At 56.2% G+C, this 23,731-nt stretch overlaps 2 protein-coding genes and 1 non-coding gene across 11 annotated transcripts in view, besides 6 other annotated features; 2 read left to right on the forward strand and 1 right to left on the reverse strand.

Annotated features, from left to right (window-relative positions):
- Window positions 1-8,355, forward strand: part of TNS2 (tensin 2) — a 17,389-nt gene extending 9,034 nt beyond the window's left edge. For 4 of the 9 annotated variants that reach the window (XM_017019089.2, XM_017019088.2, NM_001416203.1 and 1 more), the window contains exons 11-29: window positions 989-1,072; window positions 1,543-1,655; window positions 1,749-1,809; window positions 2,003-2,078; window positions 2,292-2,421; window positions 2,548-2,613; window positions 2,690-2,830; window positions 3,023-4,234; window positions 4,381-4,531; window positions 4,651-5,240; window positions 5,356-5,445; window positions 5,791-5,916; window positions 6,129-6,221; window positions 6,352-6,429; window positions 6,596-6,673; window positions 7,065-7,233; window positions 7,325-7,393; window positions 7,539-7,568; window positions 7,720-8,355. In XM_017019089.2, the coding sequence (XP_016874578.1) occupies window positions 989-1,072; window positions 1,543-1,655; window positions 1,749-1,809; window positions 2,003-2,078; window positions 2,292-2,421; window positions 2,548-2,613; window positions 2,690-2,830; window positions 3,023-4,234; window positions 4,381-4,531; window positions 4,651-5,240; window positions 5,356-5,445; window positions 5,791-5,916; window positions 6,129-6,221; window positions 6,352-6,429; window positions 6,596-6,673; window positions 7,065-7,233; window positions 7,325-7,393; window positions 7,539-7,568; window positions 7,720-7,858 (3,496 nt within the window). In that variant the 3' untranslated portion in view covers window positions 7,859-8,355. Of the gene's footprint in view, window positions 1-988; window positions 1,073-1,542; window positions 1,656-1,748; window positions 1,810-2,002; window positions 2,079-2,291; window positions 2,422-2,547; window positions 2,614-2,689; window positions 2,831-3,022; window positions 4,235-4,380; window positions 4,532-4,650; window positions 5,241-5,355; window positions 5,446-5,790; window positions 5,917-6,128; window positions 6,222-6,351; window positions 6,430-6,595; window positions 6,674-7,064; window positions 7,234-7,324; window positions 7,394-7,538; window positions 7,569-7,719 lie in introns of those variants that run through there. The other 5 variants (NM_001416202.1, NM_015319.3, NM_170754.4 and 2 more) reach the window with 3 other exon arrangements.
- Window positions 920-988, forward strand: MIR6757 (microRNA 6757). Its single transcript, NR_106815.1, has one exon. It is a non-coding gene; the product is annotated as a microRNA 6757 (primary transcript).
- Window positions 8,292-23,366, reverse strand: SPRYD3 (SPRY domain containing 3). Its single transcript, NM_032840.3, has 11 exons — window positions 23,287-23,366; window positions 21,091-21,237; window positions 19,712-19,787; window positions 19,071-19,195; window positions 18,625-18,760; window positions 17,262-17,447; window positions 12,131-12,280; window positions 11,624-11,681; window positions 10,549-10,668; window positions 10,290-10,462; window positions 8,292-9,942 (listed from the first exon to the last, which is right to left on the reverse strand). The coding sequence occupies exons 1-11, from the start codon at window positions 23,307-23,309 to the stop codon at window positions 9,808-9,810; spliced, it is 1,329 nt and encodes a 442-aa protein (NP_116229.1). The 5' UTR covers window positions 23,310-23,366; the 3' UTR covers window positions 8,292-9,807.
- Window positions 9,915-10,416: an enhancer, noted in NCBI's record as "H3K4me1 hESC enhancer chr12:53459723-53460224 (GRCh37/hg19 assembly coordinates)". NCBI's record gives its function as "activates a minimal SCP1, AML or CMV promoter by ChIP-STARR-seq in primed H9 embryonic stem cells {active_cell/tissue: H9 hESC(primed)}" and the evidence as "EXISTENCE:reporter gene assay evidence [ECO:0000049][PMID:30033119]".
- Window positions 15,858-16,358: an enhancer, noted in NCBI's record as "H3K4me1 hESC enhancer chr12:53465666-53466166 (GRCh37/hg19 assembly coordinates)". NCBI's record gives its function as "activates a minimal SCP1, AML or CMV promoter by ChIP-STARR-seq in naive H9 embryonic stem cells {active_cell/tissue: H9 hESC(naive)}" and the evidence as "EXISTENCE:reporter gene assay evidence [ECO:0000049][PMID:30033119]".
- Window positions 15,858-16,859: a biological region, named in NCBI's record as "H3K4me1 hESC enhancers GRCh37_chr12:53465666-53466166 and GRCh37_chr12:53466167-53466667".
- Window positions 16,241-16,535: an enhancer, noted in NCBI's record as "tiled region #4468; K562 Activating DNase matched - State 5:Enh". NCBI's record gives its function as "activates a minimal TATA promoter and a strong SV40 promoter by Sharpr-MPRA in K562 cells {active_cell/tissue: K562}" and the evidence as "EXISTENCE:reporter gene assay evidence [ECO:0000049][PMID:27701403]".
- Window positions 16,359-16,859: an enhancer, noted in NCBI's record as "H3K4me1 hESC enhancer chr12:53466167-53466667 (GRCh37/hg19 assembly coordinates)". NCBI's record gives its function as "activates a minimal SCP1, AML or CMV promoter by ChIP-STARR-seq in naive H9 embryonic stem cells {active_cell/tissue: H9 hESC(naive)}" and the evidence as "EXISTENCE:reporter gene assay evidence [ECO:0000049][PMID:30033119]".
- Window positions 23,067-23,346: a silencer, noted in NCBI's record as "silent region_4492". NCBI's record gives its function as "represses an Ori minimal core promoter by ATAC-STARR-seq in GM12878 lymphoblastoid cells {active_cell/tissue: GM12878}" and the evidence as "EXISTENCE:reporter gene assay evidence [ECO:0000049][PMID:35858748]".

The following is a 23,731-nucleotide window of genomic DNA, read 5'->3' on the forward strand; positions in this document are numbered from 1 at the left end:
GAGTTTCCTGGGGCAGCCACAAACAGGGTGGTGTAAAACAGTGGAAATGGGCCGGGTGCGTTGGCTCACGCCTGTAATACCAGCACTTTGGGAGGCTGAGGTGGGCAGGTCACCTGAGGTCAGGAGTTTGAAACTAGCCTGGCCAGGTGAAACCCCATCTCTACCAAAAATATAAAAATATAAAAATTAGCCGGGCGTGGTGGTGGGCGCCTGTAATCCCAGCTACTCAGGAGGCTGAGGCAGGAGAATTGCTTGAACCCAGGAGACGGAGGTTGCAGTGAGCCCACACGGTGCCACTGTACTCCAGCCTGGGTGACAGAGTCAGACTCCGTCTCAAAAAAAACAAAAACAAAACAAAACAAAAAACAGTGGAAATGTACTCTCTCACAGTTCTGGAGGCCAGAAGCCCCAAACCAAGCTGTCAGCAGGCCCTTGCTCCATCTGAGACTCGGGATGGAATCCTTCCTTGTCTCTTTCTAGCTTCCAGTGGTGGGCGGCAAGCCTTGGCATTCCTTGGTTTGCAGACACATCACTGTAATCGCTGCCTCTGTCATCACATGGTGTTCTCCCTGTGTGTCTCTGTCTGTGTCTCTTCCTCTCTTCTTATAAGGACACCAATCATATTGGATTCAGGGTCCACCCTCCTTCAGTATGGTCTCATCTTAACTAATTATGTCTGCAACGGCCCTATTTCCAAATAAGGTCACATTCTGAGGTACATGTCTTTTGGGGGGATATAATTCAACCCATAAGATGGTTTTGTTGCCCTGTTTTACAGATGAAAAAACTAAAGTTCAGGGAACAATTGCCTGAGGCCCAACAACTAGTAAAGTGACTGTACATGGTGCTTCTCATTCTCATTACCACTACTCTGGGCTTCTTCTAGACTTAGAGAATCATATTTCTCCTCCATCCCCTGGGGCTTAGGGATGGGAGGCCAGGATGAAGATTAATCCCTAATCCCCAACACTGGCCTTGCTATCCCCAGGGCGGACCAGGCACTGGCCACTCTTACCATGCGGAAATTCTGCGAGGACAAGGTGGCCACAGAACTGCAGCCCTCCCAGCGTCGGTGAGCAGCCTGGGTGGGGATGGGCCAGAGGAGCAGCTCCCTTCATGGCTACCAAGGCCAAGACTCTCTTATTCATGCAGCACACTTTCACTGAGTGTGCCAAGCGCCGTGCCAGGTGCTGAGAATTCAAAGTGGACAAAGCCCCTGCTCTCATGGAGCTTTCATGCTAGTAGGGTGGAAGGCAGTAGACCTGGGAATAAATAGACGAGGAGATCAGTCATAAAGAGAACCTGAAGGACAGTCAGGGCCTGCCACTATAAAGTGAAGCAGAGCTCTGGGGAAAGAGCTTTGAGGCAGAGGGGAGCAGGAGGGATTGAGGTTAGATGCAAGGAAGAACTTTCTGGTGACCCGGAAGATGGGAAGGAAGTGTTGAGCAGAAGAGCGAGCCTTCTAAGGGTGGATGGTTGAAATGATACAAGGTGACCTCCAGAGGAAAAGGCTTATGTTCTCCTTGACACGCCCTCCACCAGATATATCAGCTACTTCAGTGGGCTGCTATCTGGCTCCATCAGAATGAACAGCAGCCCTCTCTTCCTGCACTATGTGCTCATCCCCATGCTGCCAGCCTTTGAACCTGGCACAGGTGAGTCTGCCTGAGATGTGCTCCCTAGGGAGAACCACCTTCAGGCCCTCTCCACTCAGCACCCCTCCTGTGCCTTCTCCTCTGCCCCTCCAGGCTTCCAGCCCTTCCTTAAAATCTACCAGTCCATGCAGCTTGTCTACACATCTGGAGTCTAGTGAGTGCTCTATTCCCAGGCCCCTGACACTTCATGACCAGGGCCCCTCTTGCTCCTGCATTCCTGCTTCTCCAGCCTCCCTAGACACCTGGGCAGGGCTCAGACTCTGGTCTCCTGGCTCCCCCTGACTGCATAGCTGCCTCTGCACGCAGGAGCTTCTGGTTCATCTCTGCCTTCTCCTCTCTCCCCACAGTCACATTGCAGGCCCTGGTCCCCAGCAGCTTTGCATCAGCCTGGAGCCAGCCCTCCTCCTCAAAGGCGATGTCATGGTGAGGGGGGTCCTGTCAACAAGAAGAATCCTGGAGATGGGGCAGGGGTTGGTGGTGTAACGGCACAGTCACCAATTTGAGACAGATTGGAGAGCGAGTAGGGAGATCACCTTGAGATCGAGGCAGGGCAGAAGCTGTGACCAGGCAGTCCCCAGGGTGGAAGCGCAGAAGAGGACATGAGGCCTGATCCGCAGCCTCCTGCCTTTCTCCCAGGTAACATGTTATCACAAGGGTGGCCGGGGCACAGACCGGACCCTCGTGTTCCGAGTCCAGTTCCACACCTGCACCATCCACGGACCACAGCTCACTTTCCCCAAGGACCAGCTTGACGAGGCCTGGACTGGTGAGTCTGAGACAAGTGGCCTGGGGCTGGAGTCCAGGTGGCAGGCAGGTGGCAGGCAGGTGGCAGGCAGGCAGGAGAGTGTGGTATGGGCCAGGGGCCTGGTTCTTCACTGTCCACTCCCCATAGATGAGAGGTTCCCCTTCCAAGCCTCCGTGGAGTTTGTCTTCTCCTCCAGCCCCGAGAAGATCAAAGGTAAGAGCAGGGACATGGGCTGGGGACTGAGGGCCGCCTCTCCCCTGCTCCCCAATACCCGAGTGGCCTTCCACAGGCAGCACTCCACGGAACGACCCCTCGGTCTCTGTCGACTACAACACCACTGAGCCAGCCGTGCGCTGGGACTCCTATGAGAACTTCAACCAGCACCACGAGGACAGTGTGGATGGTGCGCAGGCAGCCTGCAGGGTGGGAGGTACAGGGTTGTGGCGGGACCCTGGGGGGTGGTGCCAGGGAGAAGCACACTCCCTCCTCCCCAGGCAGAGCCCACTCCCGAGAGACACCCCCGGCCCGACAGCTGTCTCCAGTGCCATCCCCTCTCATGAATTTTCTCTCTCCCTCCCTGTTCCCCGCTTGCCCTCCCTCCCTGATCCTCTTCCCCACTCAGGCTCCTTGACCCACACCCGGGGTCCCCTGGATGGCAGTCCTTATGCCCAGGTGCAGCGGCCTCCCCGGCAGACCCCCCCGGCACCCTCTCCAGAGCCTCCACCACCCCCCATGCTCTCTGTCAGCAGCGACTCAGGCCATTCCTCCACGCTGACCACAGAGCCGGCTGCTGAGTCCCCTGGCCGGCCGCCCCCTACAGCTGCTGAACGGCAGGAGCTGGATCGCCTCCTAGGAGGCTGCGGAGTGGCCAGTGGGGGCCGGGGAGCTGGGCGCGAGACGGCCATCCTAGATGACGAAGAGCAGCCCACTGTGGGCGGAGGCCCCCACCTCGGAGTGTATCCAGGCCATAGGCCTGGCCTCAGCCGCCACTGCTCCTGCCGCCAGGGCTACCGGGAGCCCTGCGGGGTTCCCAATGGGGGCTACTACCGGCCAGAGGGAACCCTGGAGAGGAGGCGACTGGCCTACGGGGGCTATGAGGGATCCCCCCAGGGCTACGCCGAGGCCTCGATGGAGAAGAGGCGCCTCTGCCGATCGCTGTCAGAGGGGCTATACCCCTACCCACCTGAGATGGGGAAACCAGCCACTGGGGACTTTGGCTACCGCGCCCCAGGCTACCGGGAGGTGGTCATCCTGGAGGACCCTGGGCTGCCTGCCCTATACCCATGCCCAGCCTGCGAGGAGAAGCTGGCGCTGCCTACAGCAGCCTTGTATGGACTGCGGCTGGAGAGGGAGGCTGGAGAAGGGTGGGCAAGTGAGGCTGGCAAGCCTCTCCTGCACCCAGTGCGGCCTGGGCACCCGCTGCCTCTGCTCTTGCCTGCCTGTGGGCATCACCATGCCCCGATGCCTGACTACAGCTGCCTGAAGCCACCCAAGGCAGGCGAGGAAGGGCACGAGGGCTGCTCCTACACCATGTGCCCCGAAGGCAGGTATGGGCATCCAGGGTACCCTGCCCTGGTGACATACAGCTATGGAGGAGCAGTTCCCAGTTACTGCCCAGCATATGGCCGTGTGCCTCATAGCTGTGGCTCTCCAGGAGAGGGCAGAGGGTATCCCAGCCCTGGTGCCCACTCCCCACGGGCTGGCTCCATTTCCCCGGGCAGCCCGCCCTATCCACAATCTAGGAAGCTGAGCTACGAGATCCCTACGGAGGAGGGAGGGGACAGGTACCCATTGCCTGGGCACCTGGCCTCAGCAGGACCTTTGGCATCTGCAGGTGAGGGGCACCAGAGTGCGGAGTGCCCAGGGCAGAGGAGGTTCTGGAAGATGGTGGGGAAGTCAAGGGGGAACAGGGTGAGAAACAGCTAAGCCAGACAGAAGAGCCCCATCCTGCTCACAGCCCACCTCTCCCCTTCACTGCAGAGTCGCTGGAGCCGGTGTCCTGGAGGGAGGGCCCCAGTGGGCACAGCACACTGCCTCGGTCTCCCCGAGATGCCCCATGCAGTGCTTCGTCAGAGTTGTCTGGTCCCTCCACGCCCCTGCACACCAGCAGTCCAGTCCAGGGCAAGGAAAGGTATGCAGAGGGGCCGGGGATGCTCGAGTGCTTTCTTGTCCAAGCAGTTGATGAAGGCAGGTGGGGTGGGAGCAGCCACAATGGGGGCTCTGCTGACCATCTGCCCTTCCACCCTACAGCACCCGGCGACAGGACACCAGGTCCCCCACCTCAGCGCCCACTCAGAGACTGAGTCCTGGCGAGGCCTTGCCCCCTGTTTCCCAGGCAGGCACCGGAAAGGCCCCTGAGCTGCCGTCGGGAAGTGGGCCTGAGCCTCTGGCCCCTAGCCCAGTCTCTCCGACCTTCCCTCCCAGCTCGCCCAGTGACTGGCCTCAGGAAAGGAGTCCAGGGGGCCACTCAGATGGCGCCAGTCCTCGGAGCCCTGTGCCCACCACACTTCCTGGCCTCCGCCACGCCCCCTGGCAAGGCCCTCGAGGCCCCCCCGACAGCCCAGATGGGTCTCCCCTCACTCCTGTGCCTTCCCAGATGCCCTGGCTTGTGGCCAGCCCAGAGCCGCCTCAGAGCTCACCTACACCTGCTTTCCCCCTGGCTGCCTCCTATGACACCAATGGCCTTAGCCAGCCCCCACTTCCTGAGAAACGCCACCTGCCCGGGCCGGGGCAACAGCCAGGACCCTGGGGCCCAGAGCAGGCATCATCGCCAGCCAGAGGCATCAGTCACCATGTCACCTTCGCACCTCTGCTCTCAGATAATGTCCCCCAAACCCCAGGTATAAAGGCCTTGAGGGGGTTGGTGCCACCTTGAGAGAACCCTTTCTCCTGGGATGTAGCATGGATGGGGACCCGGGTACCCTGGGGTCTGAACCTACTCCCTCCCTGTCCTAGAGCCTCCTACACAAGAGAGCCAAAGCAATGTCAAGTTTGTCCAGGATACATCCAAGTTCTGGTACAAGCCACACCTGTCCCGTGACCAAGGTGAGAAGCCAGCCTGCCCCCACCCCACTGCATCCCACCTTCCAGGGTGTCTGTCTTGGCTTTAAGTCCCATCCTGTTGAAGCTCTTGGCTCCTCCTGTCTGAGCTGTGTTTACTCTTGGCTGAGTGTTTACCAGCAGGTGATTCTGGGCTTTGGGCCAAGGCGGTGAGATCCAACATGGTCAAAACCCCTGTGAACTCTAGAGCCCTGGCCTCAGACTCTTACCGCCACCACAGCTGTCAGGGCAGAGACCATGGAGCTTGGCAGCAGAGGAGGGGGGCTGCATGGGGCTCAGTCCACCCCTGTGAAAACTCCTCCCCACTGCCCGCTACCCCTCACCCTGCAGCCATTGCCCTGCTGAAGGACAAGGACCCTGGGGCCTTCCTGATCAGGGACAGTCATTCATTCCAAGGAGCTTATGGGCTGGCCCTCAAGGTGGCCACACCGCCACCCAGTGCCCAGCCCTGGAAAGGTACAGAACACCCAAACCTGAGTGGGGTGGGGATGAAGTTGGGGGTGGTGCCAGAGGCAAGGTAACAGGGCAGGTGGGGGTGCTGTGCTGGCCATGCCGCTGTAGAGGGGAGAGGTAGGAAAAGACCTCAGCTGCTCGGGAAAGAATCCCATTAGGGAAGAAGCTGGAACCTGGAATCCTAAAGCCGCAATCTTCCCCTCGCCTCCTCTCAGGGGACCCCGTGGAACAGCTGGTCCGCCATTTCCTCATCGAGACTGGGCCCAAAGGGGTGAAGATCAAGGGCTGCCCCAGTGAGCCCTACTTTGGTGAGAAGCAGGAGCCTGGGGAAGGCTACGTTGGGTCGGTTTAGGGAGATGCCAAGGGATCTCAGGAGGATGGAAGGGAAAGGCGGGGCACCCTGGGCATCTCGGGACTTTCCTACCTCCTCTCCCACAGGCAGCCTGTCCGCCTTGGTCTCCCAGCACTCCATCTCCCCCATCTCCCTGCCCTGCTGCCTGCGCATTCCCAGCAAAGGTGAGTGTCTGGTCATCTGTCCTCCCCACCTCTCCCTACCCCCTGCAGCCAAAGCAGGATCCAGAGGTCTTGGCTCCCCGCCTTCCCTTGGGGAAGCAGAGGGAGTGCTCCAGCCTGGGGAACACTCTGCCTTCTGAGCTTCCCTGTCGGTTCTCATTGCCCTCAGATCCTCTGGAAGAGACCCCAGAGGCTCCAGTGCCCACCAACATGAGCACAGCGGCAGACCTCCTGCGTCAGGGTGCTGGTAGAGACTTCCCCTCCACTCCCCTCCCTCTCCCTGGGCACCAAGGGGGCATTGTGGATACAGGGCATGGGGCACTGAAAGGCCTTGAGGTGGGTGAGCCCTGGCCAACCCATGAGGGCAGGGGAGCCCCATACTGTCGGGGATGAGGAATTGGGTCCTCAGCCTAGGTTCTCAAAGTCTCATGAACAAGACGATCATGGGGTGGTAGCAGGGAGGCTTCTCTGCCTCGCTTCTGACTGTAGATCCAGTAGAGTCATGGAATCTGCCTTTTTAACAAGTCACCTATGTGATTGTAAAGCATGTGACAGCAGTAGCTGGGGAATGTGCAAGAGCTGGTGGGGGTGGCTAGGGGATGGGCACTCCCTCCCTGACCCACTCCCTGCCCCTGTAGCCTGCAGCGTGCTCTACTTGACCTCAGTGGAGACAGAGTCACTGACGGGCCCCCAAGCTGTGGCCCGGGCCAGCTCTGCAGCTCTGAGCTGTAGCCCCCGCCCGACACCAGCTGTTGTCCACTTCAAGGTGTCAGCCCAGGGCATTACACTGACGGACAACCAAAGGAAGTATGTATACTCAGCCCTGTAGAACCCCATGCTTAAGGCCCCTGGGGGCTCATGTTTCTGAGTGTGACCTTCCTCACCCTCCTCCTTGCAGGCTCTTCTTTCGCCGCCATTATCCAGTGAACAGCATCACCTTCTCCAGCACTGACCCTCAAGACCGGAGGTGACTCTCCCTCCAAACCCTTTGCCCCAAATCCCCATGGTCCCACCAGGTCCCAGCTCCCAGCCCCAGCCCCAGCCCCGGCCCCGGCCCCCCTTCAGCAGCTGTCCCCTGGGGTGTGCATCTTCACCTTCTTCTCCTTCTGCAGATGGACCAACCCAGACGGGACCACCTCCAAGTAAGCCTCCCCACGAATTCAGCCTCTTCCTTCCAAGGGACCAGGGCGCTGCTGTCCTCTCAATGCTGGCATTTGATTTGTCTCACCAAGGCCAGCTACATTCCCTTGTGGAAGGAATGTTAAGCCCCTTCCCCACCCTTTATCCCCCTAGGATCTTTGGTTTCGTGGCCAAGAAGCCGGGAAGCCCCTGGGAGAATGTGTGTCACCTCTTTGCAGAGCTTGACCCAGATCAGCCTGCTGGCGCCATTGTCACCTTCATCACCAAAGTTCTACTGGGCCAGAGAAAATGAAGGAAGGCCACAAGCTCAGAGCCCACATCAACACTGCCCCCCTCCCAGCACCCCACAGCCCTCACATCCCCTGGCCTGGACCCAGGAGACCCAGGAGAAAGCACCCTCCCTTAGGAATGAGGAGTGGGCATCAGGCCTGGGACACTGCTCTCCTTCCCCGCCCCCAGCCTGCTAAGTTAAGTGGACAGGCCCACAAGATGACCTTGCATGTGAGCAGATGGCAGAGATGGGTGTGTGAGGGGTGAGGAGGCATCAGCAGTTGAGCCCCGAAGGAGATCAGGCAGCCCCACCTGCAGGAGAACGTCAGCCCTCCAGGGGATCAGCCCCTGCCAGTTCCACCCAGCTGCAGGTGCCAGCACGGCAGGGATGGGAGAGGGGTGGGGAGCGAGTCACTGCCTCCTCTGAGCAGAGATTCAGAGTAGGATCACATGAATAGGGGAAAAAAGAGAGTCTATTTTTGTCTAATAATAAAGAATTTCTATAAACTTTAGCCGAAATTGGAGTCAACACTTATTCACAGGAAGGTCAAAGCCTCATCTCCCAGGGGACGTATCTGTGCTCAGGCCTGTAGCCAGGCCCATGGAACATATGATTCCCATCCCTGGCCCAACATTGGTCCACATCTCCCCATGAGCAAGCTGCCTTCGGCTGCCCCCATCCAGCAGTCCTGTTCCTAGCCCAGTGGACTAGAAAGGCTCCTGGTTCCGGCCATACTGATAAATACGGAAACTCCATCTTTATCGGCTGTATAAACATCTCTGGTCTGTACATACATTTCATACATCGTAGGGTGGGAAGCGAGGGCCAAAGGGAGGCCCAGCAGCACAACAGCTCACCCGCTTTCCCTACAGCCCTACCCGCTCTGTGCAAACCAAGGCCAACAGCTCCTGCTGCCTCTTCCTCCCTGGAAAAGTCACTGTTACGGGGAGGGGGCCAGGGGTTGAAGGATTAGAAGGAGATAGAGGGCTTGGTGGGGAGGACACATGTAAGTGCTAGAATCAAACACTGAAGCGAAACAGGCAACTGGCACAAGCAGCAAGCTGAGGCATGGGACGGGGCAGGAAAAGGGGAGGGAGGGGCCACGCTGCCCCTCTGGGCTTGCTCAGCTAAGGCTCTGGGGTCTTGCCCTCACGCTGGCAGGGAGACAGGCCCCAGAGCCTCAGCCCCAATACCCGGGAGCTAGGGACATGGGTGGCACTGGTAAAGAAAGGATGGAAGGGGAGAAAGGAGTGAAGGCCCTAGTGCCCTGTCACCTCACAGCCCCTCTCTCTTAAACATGCAACAGGCACCCACCCATGTGGGTCCAGGTATGGGGAGCCAGAGACCTAGATCCTCTGTGGTGCCTGAGCAGGTTGGGGTGGGGAGCCAGCTCTCAAGGGAAAGATGGAGAGCCTAGAGGAGTCTTCCTGGGGCAGCAGCCAGTGAAAGGACAGAGATGACCAAAGAGAGGTCCCCTGGCCCTGCCAGGGGTATGACAGCAGCAACTGGTTCACACAACCAGGAAAGAAAACAAGAAAGAGGAATTCAAGGAGAAATACCATGGTGAGTAGGGGAGGGGGCTGTCTACTCTACCCTCTACAAAGCATCATGCCCGAATAGCAGCTGAGATAGGGTGCTCACGCCTCTCCACCCACACAGGGCCGGTGAGGGAAAGGGGGACCCAGAAGCCCACTGACCAAAGCGAGTGGGACCACCCACATACCAACACCATTCTTTGGGTCCATTCCTGTCCAACCAGGGACTCAGGCCCAGGGACTGACAACAGTGGCAGCACCAGGTCAGAAACGTGGGCACAGAGAAGCGTGACAGGGGCCTGAGCCAGTGGGGGCAGAGTGACTACACACCTCCAGGGGCCTGCTGGGTAAACGAAGCCTCTGGGAAGTCAGGAACTGGGTGCCTGGCCCAGCAGAGGGTGAGCAGGGAGAAGGAGCAGGTCTGGAGGGGAGGCCCTAGCCACTCAAGGGGTGCAGATCTACTTTGACTTTCTCCCCGCAGCTCAGCATTCCAATGGTGGGGAAGAAGCCTCCAGAAGGAACAACAGCATCCTTCTTCCCAATGATCTTGCCATTCCGAGTGAAGAAAACCTGGGGAGGAGGTGGGGAGAAGAATGGAGCAAGCAGGCTGTGGCCTCTTCCCTGAGGATGCTGGAGCTCCACAGGCCTGAACCCCAATCACCCCAGCTTCCAGCGGGGCTGGAGAGGGGCAGTTAAGGTGTTATGGGAAGTGACCACCAGAGGGCGTGCTGAGGCCGGAAAACAGCCTCCCAAGACCGTCTCCCGATCTCAGCAACCCCTGGAGCTGGGAACAGCCCTTGGGCAACGCCAGAGCTTCCCGTCTTTCCCACCCTGGTTGTGAGTTCTGTTCCCCACTAATACCCACCCTTTGCCCAGACCCAAAAACCCTGGTCCCACCTCAAACTCTCCGTACTCACCACCACCTTCCTGCCCTCATGCTCCGGCTCTATCTCTTCCCCATCCTCTTCCTCTTCCTCTTCCTCCTCTTCCTCTTCCCCTTCCTGGTGCAGGTACATGACATTCCGCACGTTCCGGACGGCCCGGGCAGTCGGAGACAGGATCACTGTGTCACAACTGTCATCACTGTCCCCTAGGAGACCAGGAAACCTGAGCTCCTGTGGTGCCTTTCCACCCTCGGCCCCAAGCAGCCTGGCTGGCCACCCCTACCCCACTCACCCTCACTGTCCAAAATGTAGTCCCGGGGGAACATGATTCCACAGCCCATGATGTCCCCTTTGTAACAGCGTGGCCCAAAGGGGTCCCCCACACCACTGCCATGGAAGATCTTCCCATCGTCTGTTGGAGGGAGGGGAAAGGACAAACACTTGAGGAAGGAGGGCTGACACCACACCCCCAGAGTGGCTCATGAAGCTGAACACTTCCCACCCCTCAGAGGAAGGGAAGGGTCAGGGCGGAAACAAAGATGGAGAGAGAGGCCGGGCGCGGTGGCTCACGCCTGGAATCCCAGGACTTTGGGAGGCCAAGGAGGGTGGATCACCTGAAGTCAGGAGTTTGAGACCAGCATGGCCAGCATGGCGAAACATCTCTACTAAAAATACAAAAATTAGCTGGGCGTGGTGGCGCCCGTCTGTAGTCCCAGCTACTCAGGAGGCTGAGGTGGGAGGATCACTTGAGCCTGGGAGGCAGAGGTTGCAGTGAGCCAAGATCATGCCACTGCACTCCAGTCTAGGTGACAGAGTGAGACTCCATCTCAAAAAAAAAAAAAAAAAAAAATTGGAGCGAGATATATGGGAAGGGGGCACCAAATAAAATAAAGAGACGTAGTATCCATCTGCTCAAGGTAAGGGTAAGGGAGAACCCTTAGGAAATGAGTCAGAGGAGGGGGCCCTAGGGAAGGAATGAACACCCAGGGAGGGCAGGCAGGGGGAGGTGGGTCGAGGAACTCTAGGCTCAGTTTTCTTCTAAAGAAAGCCAAGGAAACCAAGCAGCAAAAGAAAAAAGAAAATGAGGAAATGAGGGTCTGCAGGAAGGGCACGGGGGGACCAGCTCAGAGGCCTGGAATGTCCCATCTGGGCCCAGATCTCCCTCTCCTGTCCTGCTCCCCTGGTTTCCAGAGCTGGGAGGAAAACACAGATGAGGAGGAAGCACTAGCGATTTGGGAAGGGGAGGTCAGCCAGCAGCAGGGCAAACAGCAAGGCCATTTGTGAGGGGCCAGGAGAGGGGAAAGTGGATGTCCCTATGCCTCCACATCTCCCACCATCCCACCTTTCCCAGGCAGCCCGCTATTCACCTGCATGATAAGCCACAGACCCTCTGCTCCAGCCAGGGTGCCTGTTCTTGGGATAGTCCTGCACCAAGAAGAGAAAAGAAAATCTATGGTCCCATGCATAAACAAGACAGGAGAGAGTGGCGAGTAGCATCTGAACCTCTGGGACAGACCACAGCCCAGAGAGTGCCAACCCTGCACACTCATACCCTGCAGGCACTGGGGCTTCAGGGGAACCAGGGAGGGTGAGGAAAGTGTTAGTTAAGCTTTTAAGGCCAGAGCCATGGCATGTCCCACCCCCTCCCCCCAGGCCTTAGTGTGTGGTGCAGTCATGACCTGTCTCAGGTCCTTGGTCACATGGGGTGTGTACTCTTACACAGCAGACACATACAACTGTGTTCCATCTCAGCTTAGCACCCTCCCTCCAAAGCCTGGGCTCCCCTGGTTTCTCCTAAGAGCTTCCTGGTGCTGCCCCAACAGCCCCAGACCTGAGCAGCTCCATGAGCAAAAAAGCTCAGCCTTTGTGCCCACCTTCCGTGCCAGCCCCAGGGCGATGTAGCATTTCTCTCCAGGGTCCACGATCTCCACCTCGAAGTAGTGGCTGCGGGTGCTGAGTGGGTGCCGGGCCTGGGCCAGCCCCACATCCACGATGCTTTTGCCCTTCCCTAAGTACTCCAGCAGCTGTGGGGGAAGAGCCAGATGGGGGTCAGGGGACAGGCTGACACCCACCCTGGAAACCTGGGCCCAAGGCAGTCTGGGTCCCACTTTCCCAGGTCTGACAAAAACTCCTGGCTGAAAGGGAAAGAATCCTAGAGATACAATGTGGCCCCAAAGTTCTAGGCCAGCATGGAAGAGCAGGATGGGGTGGGAGGCAAAGGGGAGAGCACCCCTTGCTGAATGCCCACGCTGTCTTCCCCCACACACTTTCTGGGAGGCCGGGGAAAGCAGCACAGCTAGGGGAGCGGCACACCAGGGGGCTCTAGATGCATCCTCGCCCGCTGAAAAACCCTGCAGCCTTTCCTGCTGGGAAAGGTCCGCCCAGGGTCCCAAACACAGGGGAAAGGAGAAGCAAGACTAGCTGAGAGGAAACTTGATGACTTTCTCAGGGGGCCTAATGGGGACAGGGAGGATGCAGAAGTTAGGTGCCAACCCCAGATATTCAGGGGAAGCGGGTGAGTTCAGAAGCCAATTCTGCCTGGGATGGGCCTGACATAATTTCTCAAGGTCCTTGTTTTACTTGGCTGTGAACACAGCTGTTCTTAGCTGGGTCAGGGAGGTGCTGAGGGGAGCCCAGGGACCCAGAACGCCCAGCTCTACTCCCTCATTTCATGTGAGGGAGAGGAGAGGTCAAAATGAAGACAGAGGCAGGCTTAGCTGTTCCCAGCCCCTCATTGCTCATTCAAGTTGGAGTAGGGGCGTGGAGGTAGGATAGGGGAGATGACTGATGGGTTCTTGGGGCTCTTCAGTCCCACAATGGTCCTGCCTGGGCACGACGGGGCGGCAACCCCCAATCTGGGAGGATTTATTTGTCAGTTGTCATGGTAATAGTGGGGTGATGACTCAACCCCATCCCCTCTTTCCCCCACCTTCGGCCTCACCTGGGATTCCTTAATCTCCTTTTAATTAGCCCAACTGCCCCTCACGACTTTCTTCTACCCTCCCACCCCTGCAGCCCTGAAGGAAACATGTTGCCTAGGGACCTCCTCCACGTCTCCCTGGCAAGCTTTGGGACGCCGGCCTCTCACCTCTCACAGATTCCTGCCTGAACAGGAAAGGAATTATGCCCACCTGCACCAGCACAGAAGCCTGTGCGTGTCTCCAGCAGAGGCTGCTCCCGCATCCCCACTCCCAGCCTCAGACGGCCGCTGCTTAGCTCAGGTGCTTAGAGCGGGGTGCTACTAACCCCTTCTGAGAGTAGGACTAGAGGGGCTTGGTGCCTTTCTCAGCCCTGGATCTCAGCCCCGCCACCTCAAGTCCATCCTTCCCTCCTCTCCAAAGATAACTGGGGATGGATGAGGGGGAAAGCAGCATGCACGGGAGACCACCTAAGCCCATCCCCAAGGCCACACTGTTTGACTTCTGTTCATGGTGTATTCTCTGCTCAGCCTGGGTTCCTCCTCTGCCTCTCTCCCCGGGAAGCCAGGAGGGGTGTGGCTTGATCCACATTAACTAGTTTAGACTCCACCCAGGCAGAGCAGCCCCCAGCCCACCCTCTCCACCCAGCATTGCAGAACTGGGTGGGGGACCCCACAGCTGCCTTTGACCCATTCTATCCAACTGGCCTCGGTGTAGGAAACACAGTGTTCTCCATTTCCAGAGCCAAAAGACAGCCGATCCAGACCCTGATCCTTGGGAAATACCCGGCCAGCCCCTCCCTTTGCCTCAGCTCAGAAGAGGGTAGCTGCTGCATTTCTGTCTCTGGATAGGGTGGAGGTGCTTTCTCACGCTAAAAGCCAGGACGGACTACCCCAACATGGGTCTTTAAAACCCACTCTCTACCTGCCAACCACAGAGCACTTCGGACAGAATGCTGATGTCCTGGACGACTAGGTACTTGTACAGTGTATAGGTGAGGCTTGTACAGCGTGCCCTCTTCAGAGGGGACCGCCCAGCCCTCACAGTGAAAGCCATCATAAACCTCCTGATCCACTCTCCTGCTCCTGGACAAAGCTCCCCCGACCCCTCCTGAGCCTTCCCAGAGAACTCAGAGGGGTGGAAGTGGGGGGAATATTTGGCCTCCCTGACAGATTCTTTCTTGAGTACATTCCTCTGCCTCCTTGGTCTATAGCTGTTAGGAACCTAGAGGAGGAGTGAAGGTTAACCCTTAGAGTCTGAACTGTTAGGATCTTGATGCTGGTCCCTCAACCTGTACCTCAGAATCCAACAGACCTGGGTTCAAATCCTAACTCCTATTACTTAACAGCCGCTAACCTCAGGCAAATGACATTCACCTCCTTAAGCCTTGGTTTCTTCAACAGTAAACTGGGATAAGATTACCTGAATTTCCAAAAACAAGTGGGAAGACTTAATGAAGTGACCAATACACATTGCTGCCTCTCCCTAAATCAGTGTAAATGGGGTTACGTTGGAATTGCCGATCACAAAGAAGGAAATGATCTTTCATCTTAGCCCTTACTTCCAACTACAATGGTCCCTTAGGCCAACCAGGACGATGGCCACTCCCCAGACAACTCTACCCTATGTGTCTCCTCTCAAACAATGTCCAATCAACAGAAATGTTTCTCTGCATTTTTGGTGGGGGAAGATGGAGCCCTTTCTTTGGGTCTCCCCCTAATACACACATACCACCAAAGCCCCAAGAAGCCAAAGACATGACTCAGTGCCACAGAGTGGCGGCTGCAGACCAGAGTGTGGACAGTCTCGTGCACTCCACACCCTCCCTCTACCAGTAGCACCTTCCCAGCCTCTTCTCCCCTGCCGGTATCCGCCCTCCTCCCCTTGCCAGCAGAGACCCTAATCCCTCTTGACAGGAGCAAGGAAGGGCTCAGTGCCCTGAGGGCCCAGAAGCAACTGAAACAGGAACCAAGTACACACTCTCCTGGCCAGCTCAGGCTCCAGCACAGCCTCCCTCTGGGCTGGGTCTGGGGAGGACCCCTGGGAGGGCGGGGCCTCATTCACCACCCTGTGTGTACCAAAGCTGTTGCCCCTGTCACTAAGGAGTTGTCAGAGGAGCTGTGAACAGGGCACAAACACAGAATGAGTCTAATCCCCCAGCTGTTACCTACCGCCCCCAGCTCCCCTCCACCACATTACCTCACTTTGCGAGGCCTGGAGGCAGGGATGAGGTGAGAGGCAAGTGCCCCAGCAATTCCTCAACCCCTCAGAGCTCTGAGGAGGTAGACTCTTTAGGAGGGGGAAACAGGCCACAGGAGGCAGGGGAAGAATTCCACTCAAGAAAGAGCCAGGTCTGTCTATATCCAAAGACTCAAATCTAACAACTGTTGAGGCCCAGGGCAGTGGCTCATGCCTCTAATCCCAGCAATTTGGGAGGCCAAGGTGGGAGGATCCCTTGAGCCTGGGAGTTGGAGGCTGAAGTGAACCAGCACTCCAGTCTGGGTGACAGAGTGATAGCCTGTCTTAAAAAAAAAAAAAAAAAAAAAAGGAAAGTTGGCATGACTGGAAAAAGGCACATGTCCCTCAGGAAGCTCACATCCAAGTTGGCCCCAGAGGAACGGGTGCCCCAGGAGTAGTGCTCCCACCCTGCCACCTGGCCCAAGCTGGGGTGAGGGTCTGAGAGAAGGGCCCAATTCAACAGCTTATGTCTAAAAAAGAAAAACACTCTTAAATAAGTGGCTGAAGGTGTTGGGGGGAGGGTGGGGAGGAAGGAAGGCTATTTATAAATGTCTACAGGATTCTGCATCAATTAGAAAAGATTGCCTGGGAGGAGCTGAGAGCAGAGTGGGGACAGGTCCAGGCAGAGAAAGGATGCCAGGAAAAAACTCTTGAGGAGAGGTCAGAGATGAGAGCTGGAACATCGCCCTGGCGCAGCCCCAAGTTTAACTCTGTAGATGTTGTCAGAATGATGGTAGATTGAGGGGAAAAAGGAAAGACATGAGAGTCACGGAGTGGGCATCTGAGGCCTCTTAGCTCTCGGTCGCTGCAGCCTGGGACCCTGATGCCAGACGGGGGTGCAGAGTGTCAGAAGCAGCAGGAGGGCACACTTCCTGTCATTTTCCCTGAGTTCCACTCCACCAGGGGGAGGCCTGGCTCCTAATCCGCTCCCACCCCCCACTGCTTCTGTTTTGTTATCAAAGACTGAGTTGAAAACAGCCTGGGTTGGGGTGGAAAGGCCAGAGGGTGGAGAAAAAGGCCAGGCCAGGAGCAAGGGGGTAGGAGAGGGACAATTCGAAGTGGGAGGGCTGAGCAGCCCACTAGAGGTCAGGGCCAGATCCCGGACTTGGCGTCCATTCACTCCCAATGCAGCACAGTGTATTGAGGCAGACAGGAAGAATTTTCCTTTCTCAAGGTTCATGAATTTTCCAACAAAACTTAAAATCCGGGGAGGAAGAATTCCCCTTTCTCAAGCTCCACACGCTTCCCAACGAAGCTTAAAATCCATACTAAAGCAGGTATGAGGAAAAGATAAATGAAGCAAGTTTGGAGGTGTAAGGATGCTCACTGAATCTTTATCTGCCTCCATTCTAATCCTCTATCAAATGCAGGGATAAGACAATAGAAACTGACATTGACACTTCCTCAAAAAAGATGGCTAAGAACCTTCCACCACATGTGTGGACTTCTGACCACACCTGCCCCACAACACTTTGAATGAAAAGCCTGGGCCAGGCATTTTGCCTCCAGATCAACCCCCAGCCCCTCAAAGGCAGTTGTGCAGGGCTGTAGAAGACACCAGAAGCTGAAGGAACCAAAAAAGGCAAAGCAGAACTACTTGTTCCCAGGGTCAAACTGCGAACCTGAGTTCCCTGAAGAGGAGGAAGTGAAGAAAAGAGAACATGTGCTAAAGAAAACACAGATCTGGACTCAAGGACTCATGTCAAGAGCCTAGGCTATCTTGCCAAACCCCACACGGACACTGTCCCGACTCCCCATTCCCAGCAATTCAGACATGACCATGTGCCCACAGGTGTTCTGCCCAGCCTCCTCCGACCCAGCCCCTCCCACCCTCCCACCCGCTACTTACAGTCCCACAGACTCTGACATCATGTAGCCGGCCCCATTCATCCTCGTAACTGTCCACCATCATGACGCTGTCGTCCTCACGGCCCAGCTCAGCGTTGAGGTGCAGCCGCACCTCCTCACCCAGGGAGTGCATGCCCACTGCTGGGAACAGTCCATCTGGGGACATGGGCATGATGGTAGAGCCCACCTGCAGTGGGGGGAAAGACGGAGCTGCCACCCGGCCTGCTTTTCCATAGCTCACCTAATTCTCACAAGGGTACTTTTAAGATGATGCAACCAGCCGGGCGTGGTGGCTCACGCCTGTAATCCCAGCACTTTGGGAGGCCGAGGTGGGCGGATCACAAGGTCAGGAGATTGAAACCATCCTGGCTAACACGGTGAAACCCCGTCTCTACTAAAAATACAAAAAATTAGCCGGGCGTGGTGGCGGGCGCCTGTAGTCCCAGCTACTCGGGAGGCTGAGGCAGGAGAATGGCGTGAACCCGGGAGGCGGAGCTTGCAGTGAGCCGAGATGGTGCCACTGCACTCCAGCCTGGGGGACAGAGCGAGACTCCATTTCAAAAAAAAAAAAAAAAAGATGATGCAACCAATAATTATCACACACACTGACAGATTAAAAAAAAAAAAGCAACCCAGAGGTGCAGAAAAGTTTCCAAATGTGCTAAGTACTCCTGGCTAAGCAAGGTATGTACAGAGCTAGAAGACAAACACAAGTCTCCTGACTTGCTGCCAAATACTTTCAGTACGTGTGCTGGACAGGAGAGTGCCGAGGCGCAGATGCTAAGGCAGCAGGACCCCTTGGCCAAGGCCTGAGAAACCAATTTCCCAATGTGGGAGATGGAGTTGGAGAGAAGGGAGAGAGCTGTGTGTCTCTCTCTACTATTGGCTCCTGTCCCATCTCCTCACCACGCCTAGTCTCTCTACGAACAGGATAGTGAAAGAGACGTGAAACAAGGAAAACAGGACACAGAAAGGACATATCCCCAAAAGTGCTCAAGTCAAAACCCAAAGAGGACCTCCAGCTTACATGGCCAGGCCATAATCTTCCCCTCTCTTTTATCTGCTCAAAACCTTCCCCCAAATCACCCAATTCTGTTCCCCACAATTCCTGCTCATCCTCTGCTCCACTAACTTGCCTCTCTCTGCCTGTCATCTGGGCAATGTCCCAGCTTCCTCTGGCCATGGGAAGTATCTTCTCCTACACGCAAGAGACTTCAGGAGAATCTGAGGCTGGACTGGAGGAGATGGGAACTCAGTGCAAGGGTCCCTGGGCAAGCCCCAGCCAGCAGACTCTTCCTAATCACTCCCCACAAATCCTTGGGCAGATTTCAGCCACGTAAATCCCACCACTATTTCCCACTCACCCGCTTCCCATTTTTGGTGAAGAAGATCTGGGCGGTCTGCACATCAAAGGACACAGGCTCAATGCCACAGCCAATCCGGTCCCCGGAGTTGCACTTTGACCCAAACTGGCGGCCCTTGGCTCGGCCATTGTACAGCCTACAGACAGAGTAGTACAGACACAGGACCCGAGCCTGGCCTCCCAACTTCTCCCCAGCACTGACAGCAGAGGCCTCATCCTCATCTTGCTGCTCCTGGTCATTCTGTGATGGTACCCACTTACGTCCTGGCGTGAGCATCACCCTCCTCTAGTCTGTAAGCCTTCAAGGGTGCTGCCAGGCCACTTCCCTGTCCTGACCAGAAAAGTCTATGAAACACCCAATGGGAAAAGCCAGCCCAAGGTAGTTCTTCAGATCTAAGATTCCCAAATTCATAGGAAAAGGGCCGGGTTGCACAGGAGCCAACTCACTTGCCATCATCAGCATGGTAGGCTACAGAGTCAGGCAACCAGCCAGGCTGGTGATCCAAGCTGTAGTACTGAGGGACCAGCCCCACAGCAATGGTGCCCCGGACTCCACTGTCCACAATAGACACCTGGAGAGAAGAAAGCAGGGCACAGTCAGCAGGGCTGGGAAATGGGATGAATTGCTGGGGGTGGGGGAAGGGGACTTAGAGATTAAAGGGCGCTGAGGCTCAAAAAGAAAAAGGACATGGGAATCAGGAAAAAAGATAAGATACTCAGAGGGGGCAATTGGTGAGAGTGGGTGCCTATTTCACTTAGAAAATTACTCCAAAGCTTTGGAGAAAGATAGGACTCACGTCCCTATATGGTGGGTTTGGGTTAGGGGACATGAGTCAAGTCTGGGATATGGGTCAAAGTCTACCTAGCTAAGGGGTAGGAGAGCAGAAGGGACAGGGTGACAGGTTTCCAGGGCACCTATCTCTCAGATGAGGGGCCATGCTATCCTGCACCTATTTCCCAGCCAACAGGACAGCCCTGATGGAAAATTAAAAGGCCCAGGTCATACATCTAGTAAAGGAGCTTCTTGGGGCTTAATGATCTCACCCCCAAGCTCACCCCCTGCTCTGCCCACCCACTGCCTTGATCACCTCAAAATAATTGCTGTCCTTGGTCAGGGGTCGAGAAGCCACGTAGCAGCCAACTTCACCAGAGTTTCCATGATAACTGAAGGAGGAATGAGGGGGGAATTCCATTAGCAGCCTAGCCCAAGAGTAGGGGGAGGGCCTCAGCTTCTCCCACCCTTACCCTGCAAGGGCCAGCACACAGGAGAATCCATCAGGCTGCACTTCAGTACATCGGCAGACATCAGAACCAGATACTTAAGGTCACCTCACCCTACTCCTCTCGCAGCCTCCAGCTGGAATCCAACCCGTACCAGACCAGTGCAAGCCTGGTTTCTTCATTTCCAGGAGGAAAAGAATGTAGAGCCTCCCTTACTTGCCTAAGAGAGGTCTCACAACCCTGTGTAACCTCAATCTCTCATGCTGCAGCTTCAGCCCTTTTCCTCTGGCTCTGTCCTCAGTGGAGCTGGAGAATAATGGCTGGTCTCTATCCTCTTTACCAAAGCCCTTCATCGATTGGAAGACAGTGATTCAGTTCCCACTCCTCAGCTTTCTTGCCTCTAGTTAAACAGTACTACTTTCTTCCCCCTTCAGTGGAACTCTGTGAGAGCATGGGCTCAGAAGGAGTCAGGGAAGGGGTTCAAGCCAGAAAAGAGGGAGGAAACACACACAAGCTAAGGGGCTGGAAATACAGGAGTTGGTGGACAGGGTACACTATAGAATGGCCCTTCCCCAAACAGGAAATCAACTATCTCTGAAACAGCCACTCTTCACTAGATCTAATCCCTGAGACAGTGGCAGAAGACTCAGTTACCCCACTGGAGTCTTCTCAACAAAGCACCTAGGAAGCTTCTGAGACCCCAGCAGCCTCCTGTGTCTGATGTGATCCCTTCCCCTACCCAGCTGGATCCCCTCCTTGCTGGATGAGGACAGAGCCACCCAGTGACAGAGGCAGAGGTGAGTGCAGGGTGAAGCAGCACACACTGCTCCACTCAGAAAGGCCTCTGGGCGGGTGGATCACTTGAAGTCAGGAGTTCAAGACCTGCCTGGCCAACATGGTGAAACCCTGTCTCTACCAAAAATATAAAAAATCAGCCGTATGTGGTGGTGCACGCCTGTAATCCCAGCTACTTGGGAAGCTGAGGCAGGAGAATCGCTTGAACCCAGGAGGCGGAGGTTGCAGTGAGCTGAGATCACGCCACTGCACTGTAGCCTGGGTGACAGAGCGAGACTCTGTCTTAAAAAAAAAAAAGAAAAAGAAAGGCCTCTGGAGTCAAGAGCATCGCCCTTCCCTGTGCAGTGCACAGTCCCCTTCTCTGAAAAAATAAAAGTTAAAAAAAAAAAACCCTTTCCTCTCTAAGATCTGGAACAGAGAAGAAAATGTGGAAGCATTCTCCTGAACTCACCTTAAAGTATCTCCATCTACAAGGATATGTTTGAACCTCTCCTGATATCGGAAAGCTCGGACCTCTCGAATCTCCCGGATCCGCCGGCGCCAATTCAGAAACCGGTAGTGCAGGTTGAGGTCATCCATCTTGTTCATGAGAACAAACCTGCCAAGGGGAGAAGGGGATTGAGGAGAAAGCAGGGCCCTAGGTAAAGCACCTCAGCCTCTGTGACCCAGAAGGTAGAGAAGGCACTGGCCTTGAGGCCAGCTGCCCAGATTGACCTCAACAACCCTCATCTTCTTTCTTCCATTCAACAAACATTTACCAAGCACCTACTCTGTGTGCTTTTCTCCGTGCTAGGGATGGAGCTGTGAACAAGATGGACAGGATTCCCATTCTCACAGGCTGGGAGGTGGACACGACAGGCAATAAACAGACATAATTTCAGGCAGTGGAGAAAAGAACAGGGTGATATGATAAAGAATCTGGAGGCAGTGGATAGAGTGGACAGAGGCGGTCTCTCTGAGGAGGTGACATTTGAGTTGAAAAGGAGCTAGGCATGACAAGCCAGGCATATTCCAGGCAGGAAGGGCAGCCACAGGTCCTTGGATGGAAGAGAGCTGGCATGGTAGAGAAACAGAAAAAGGCATGGACAGCTGGTATATAGGGAATGTGAGGGAGAATGTACAAGATGAGAATAAGGCAGGAGTCAGATCATGGCCCTACAGACAATGAAATGGTAAGGACTCTGGATTTTATTCCAAGATGGAAATTTCTGGAGGGTTGTAAGCAAGGAAATGCCATGATTGGCTGGGTATGATGGCTCATGCCTGCAATCCCAGCACCTTGGGAGGCTGAGGCAGGAGGATCGCTTGAGGCCAGGACCCAGACCAGCCTGGGCAACGTAGTGAGACCTCATCTCTACTAAAAATTAAAACAATGAGCCAGGTGTGGCAGCATGCACCTGTAGTCCCAGCTACTAAGGAGACTGAAGATGGCTTGAGTCTGGCAGGTCAAGGCTGCAGTCAGTTCTGATTGTGCCACTACATTCCAGCCTGGCTGACAGAGCAAGACCCTGTCTCAAAAAAAAAAGAAAAAAAAATGCCATGATCCTGGGCCTGGTGGCTCACGTCTGTGATCCCAGCACTTTGGGAGGCCGAAGTGGGAGGATCACAAGGTCAGAAGTTGAAGACCAGCCTGACCAACATGGTGAAACCCCATCTCTACTAAAAATACAAACAAATTAGCCAGGCGTGGTGGTGCGCACCTGTAATCCCAGCTACTCAGGAGGCTGAGGCAAGAGAATTGCTTGAACCTGGGAGGTGGAGTTTGCAGTGAGCCGAGATCGTCCCACTGCACTCCAGCCTGGGTGACAGAAACTCCATCTCAAAAAAAAAAAAAAAAGCCACGATCTTAATCAGTTCCTAAAGATCATTCCAGCTGCTGGTTGGAGAACTGATCACAAGAGGATCAAGAACAGATGTGGGCAAACAATTCAGACGTTGTTGCAGCAGTTCACATGAGAAATGACATCCACTAAGTCGGTAGCAGCGCCGATGGATGGGGGTGGGATGATCCAGGTATTTAAACAACCATCAGTCCCTACATATAAATGAATGAATGATTTTTCCTGGGAGCCAAAAGTGAGAAAGAGGTGAAGTACTCTTCTCTTCCCATTCCCTAAACACTGGGACAGGGGTTTTCTTGAGGCCTGACATTGCCTTGCACACGGTAGGTGCTTAGTAAGCCTTGGCTGGGCTGAATTTGATCCCAATACGCAAATTACGACTCTTATGCAGTAGCTACAACCCACCACGTGGCCCAGAAGAGTAGGCACCTGTGGGACAGACAGCCCTAAGATTCCACTCCCGGGCACTCAGCCAGGACTCAACCCCAGGTAGATGCTGGTTGCGCAGACCCCACAGTCTTGGCACCGGCGAGTGGCGGCCCTACTGGGCCCTGTCTCCTCCCCGGGCACGGCCTGATCACTGAGATGAGACCCGGGAGCAGCCGGGCCCCAGCCCATCCGTGTGCCTACGCCCAGTCTCCCCAGGCCCTGCACTGGGCCGAGGGTGCAGCAACAGAAGAAGCCCAGTGACCAGAGCGCAGGGCCCCGCCCCTGGCCCCAGAGCCCCCGCCCAGGACCCCCGCCTTCCGCTTCAGGCTCCGGGGAGATACGAGGCCTCCGGGACCCCGCCCCCGATCCCCGCCTACCGGGGCCGCCGCGTCCTCCTCATCCATAGGCCTCTCAGCTCCGCACACAAGCTCTTCGGCCGCCGCCACCACACACATCCGGGTCCCCGCCTTTCCTTCACTCCTAGAGGCCCGCCCCGTCCCCCATCTAAGCCAATCAGCAACGGCCTCTGACGACGGGCACCTGCAGGAGCCAATCGGAAGGCGCAGGCAGGGTGTGGGGCGCGGCCCGGTGCCCTGGGTACCCAGCTCAGGGCCCCGGTCTGGTCAACCCGGCTGTTGCTGGGGTGAGCGAAGGCGACGTGGCAGCGCGGACGCTGCTGGGTGCCTGGGCGCCGCTGAGGCGGACAGGGGGCGGCTCTTGAGCGGCGCCGGGGAGACGGGACGGGCGGAGAAGGTGGCCACGCTCGCACAAACGTTGCGAGTATTACTTGAGCCCTCCTTCCGCGCTGGACTGAAATAAAAG

This window comes from Homo sapiens, chromosome 12 (genome assembly GCF_000001405.40).
Source record: "Homo sapiens chromosome 12, GRCh38.p14 Primary Assembly".
In the NCBI taxonomy this organism is placed as follows: domain Eukaryota; kingdom Metazoa; phylum Chordata; class Mammalia; order Primates; family Hominidae; genus Homo; species Homo sapiens.

Bases quoted from the DNA above. Each gene is read 5' to 3' on its own strand.
- SPRYD3 (NM_032840.3), bottom strand. From the start codon at position 23,309: ATGAGGAGGACGCGGCGGCCCCG. The intron at 19,196-19,711 runs GTGATCAAGGCA...TCTTCTCTCCAG, and splicing joins AGGACAGCAATTATTTTGAG to GTGTCTATTGTGGACAGTGG. The intron at 11,682-12,130 runs GTGGGCACAAAG...TTCTTGGTGCAG, and splicing joins CCCTGGGGCTGGCACGGAAG to GACTATCCCAAGAACAGGCA.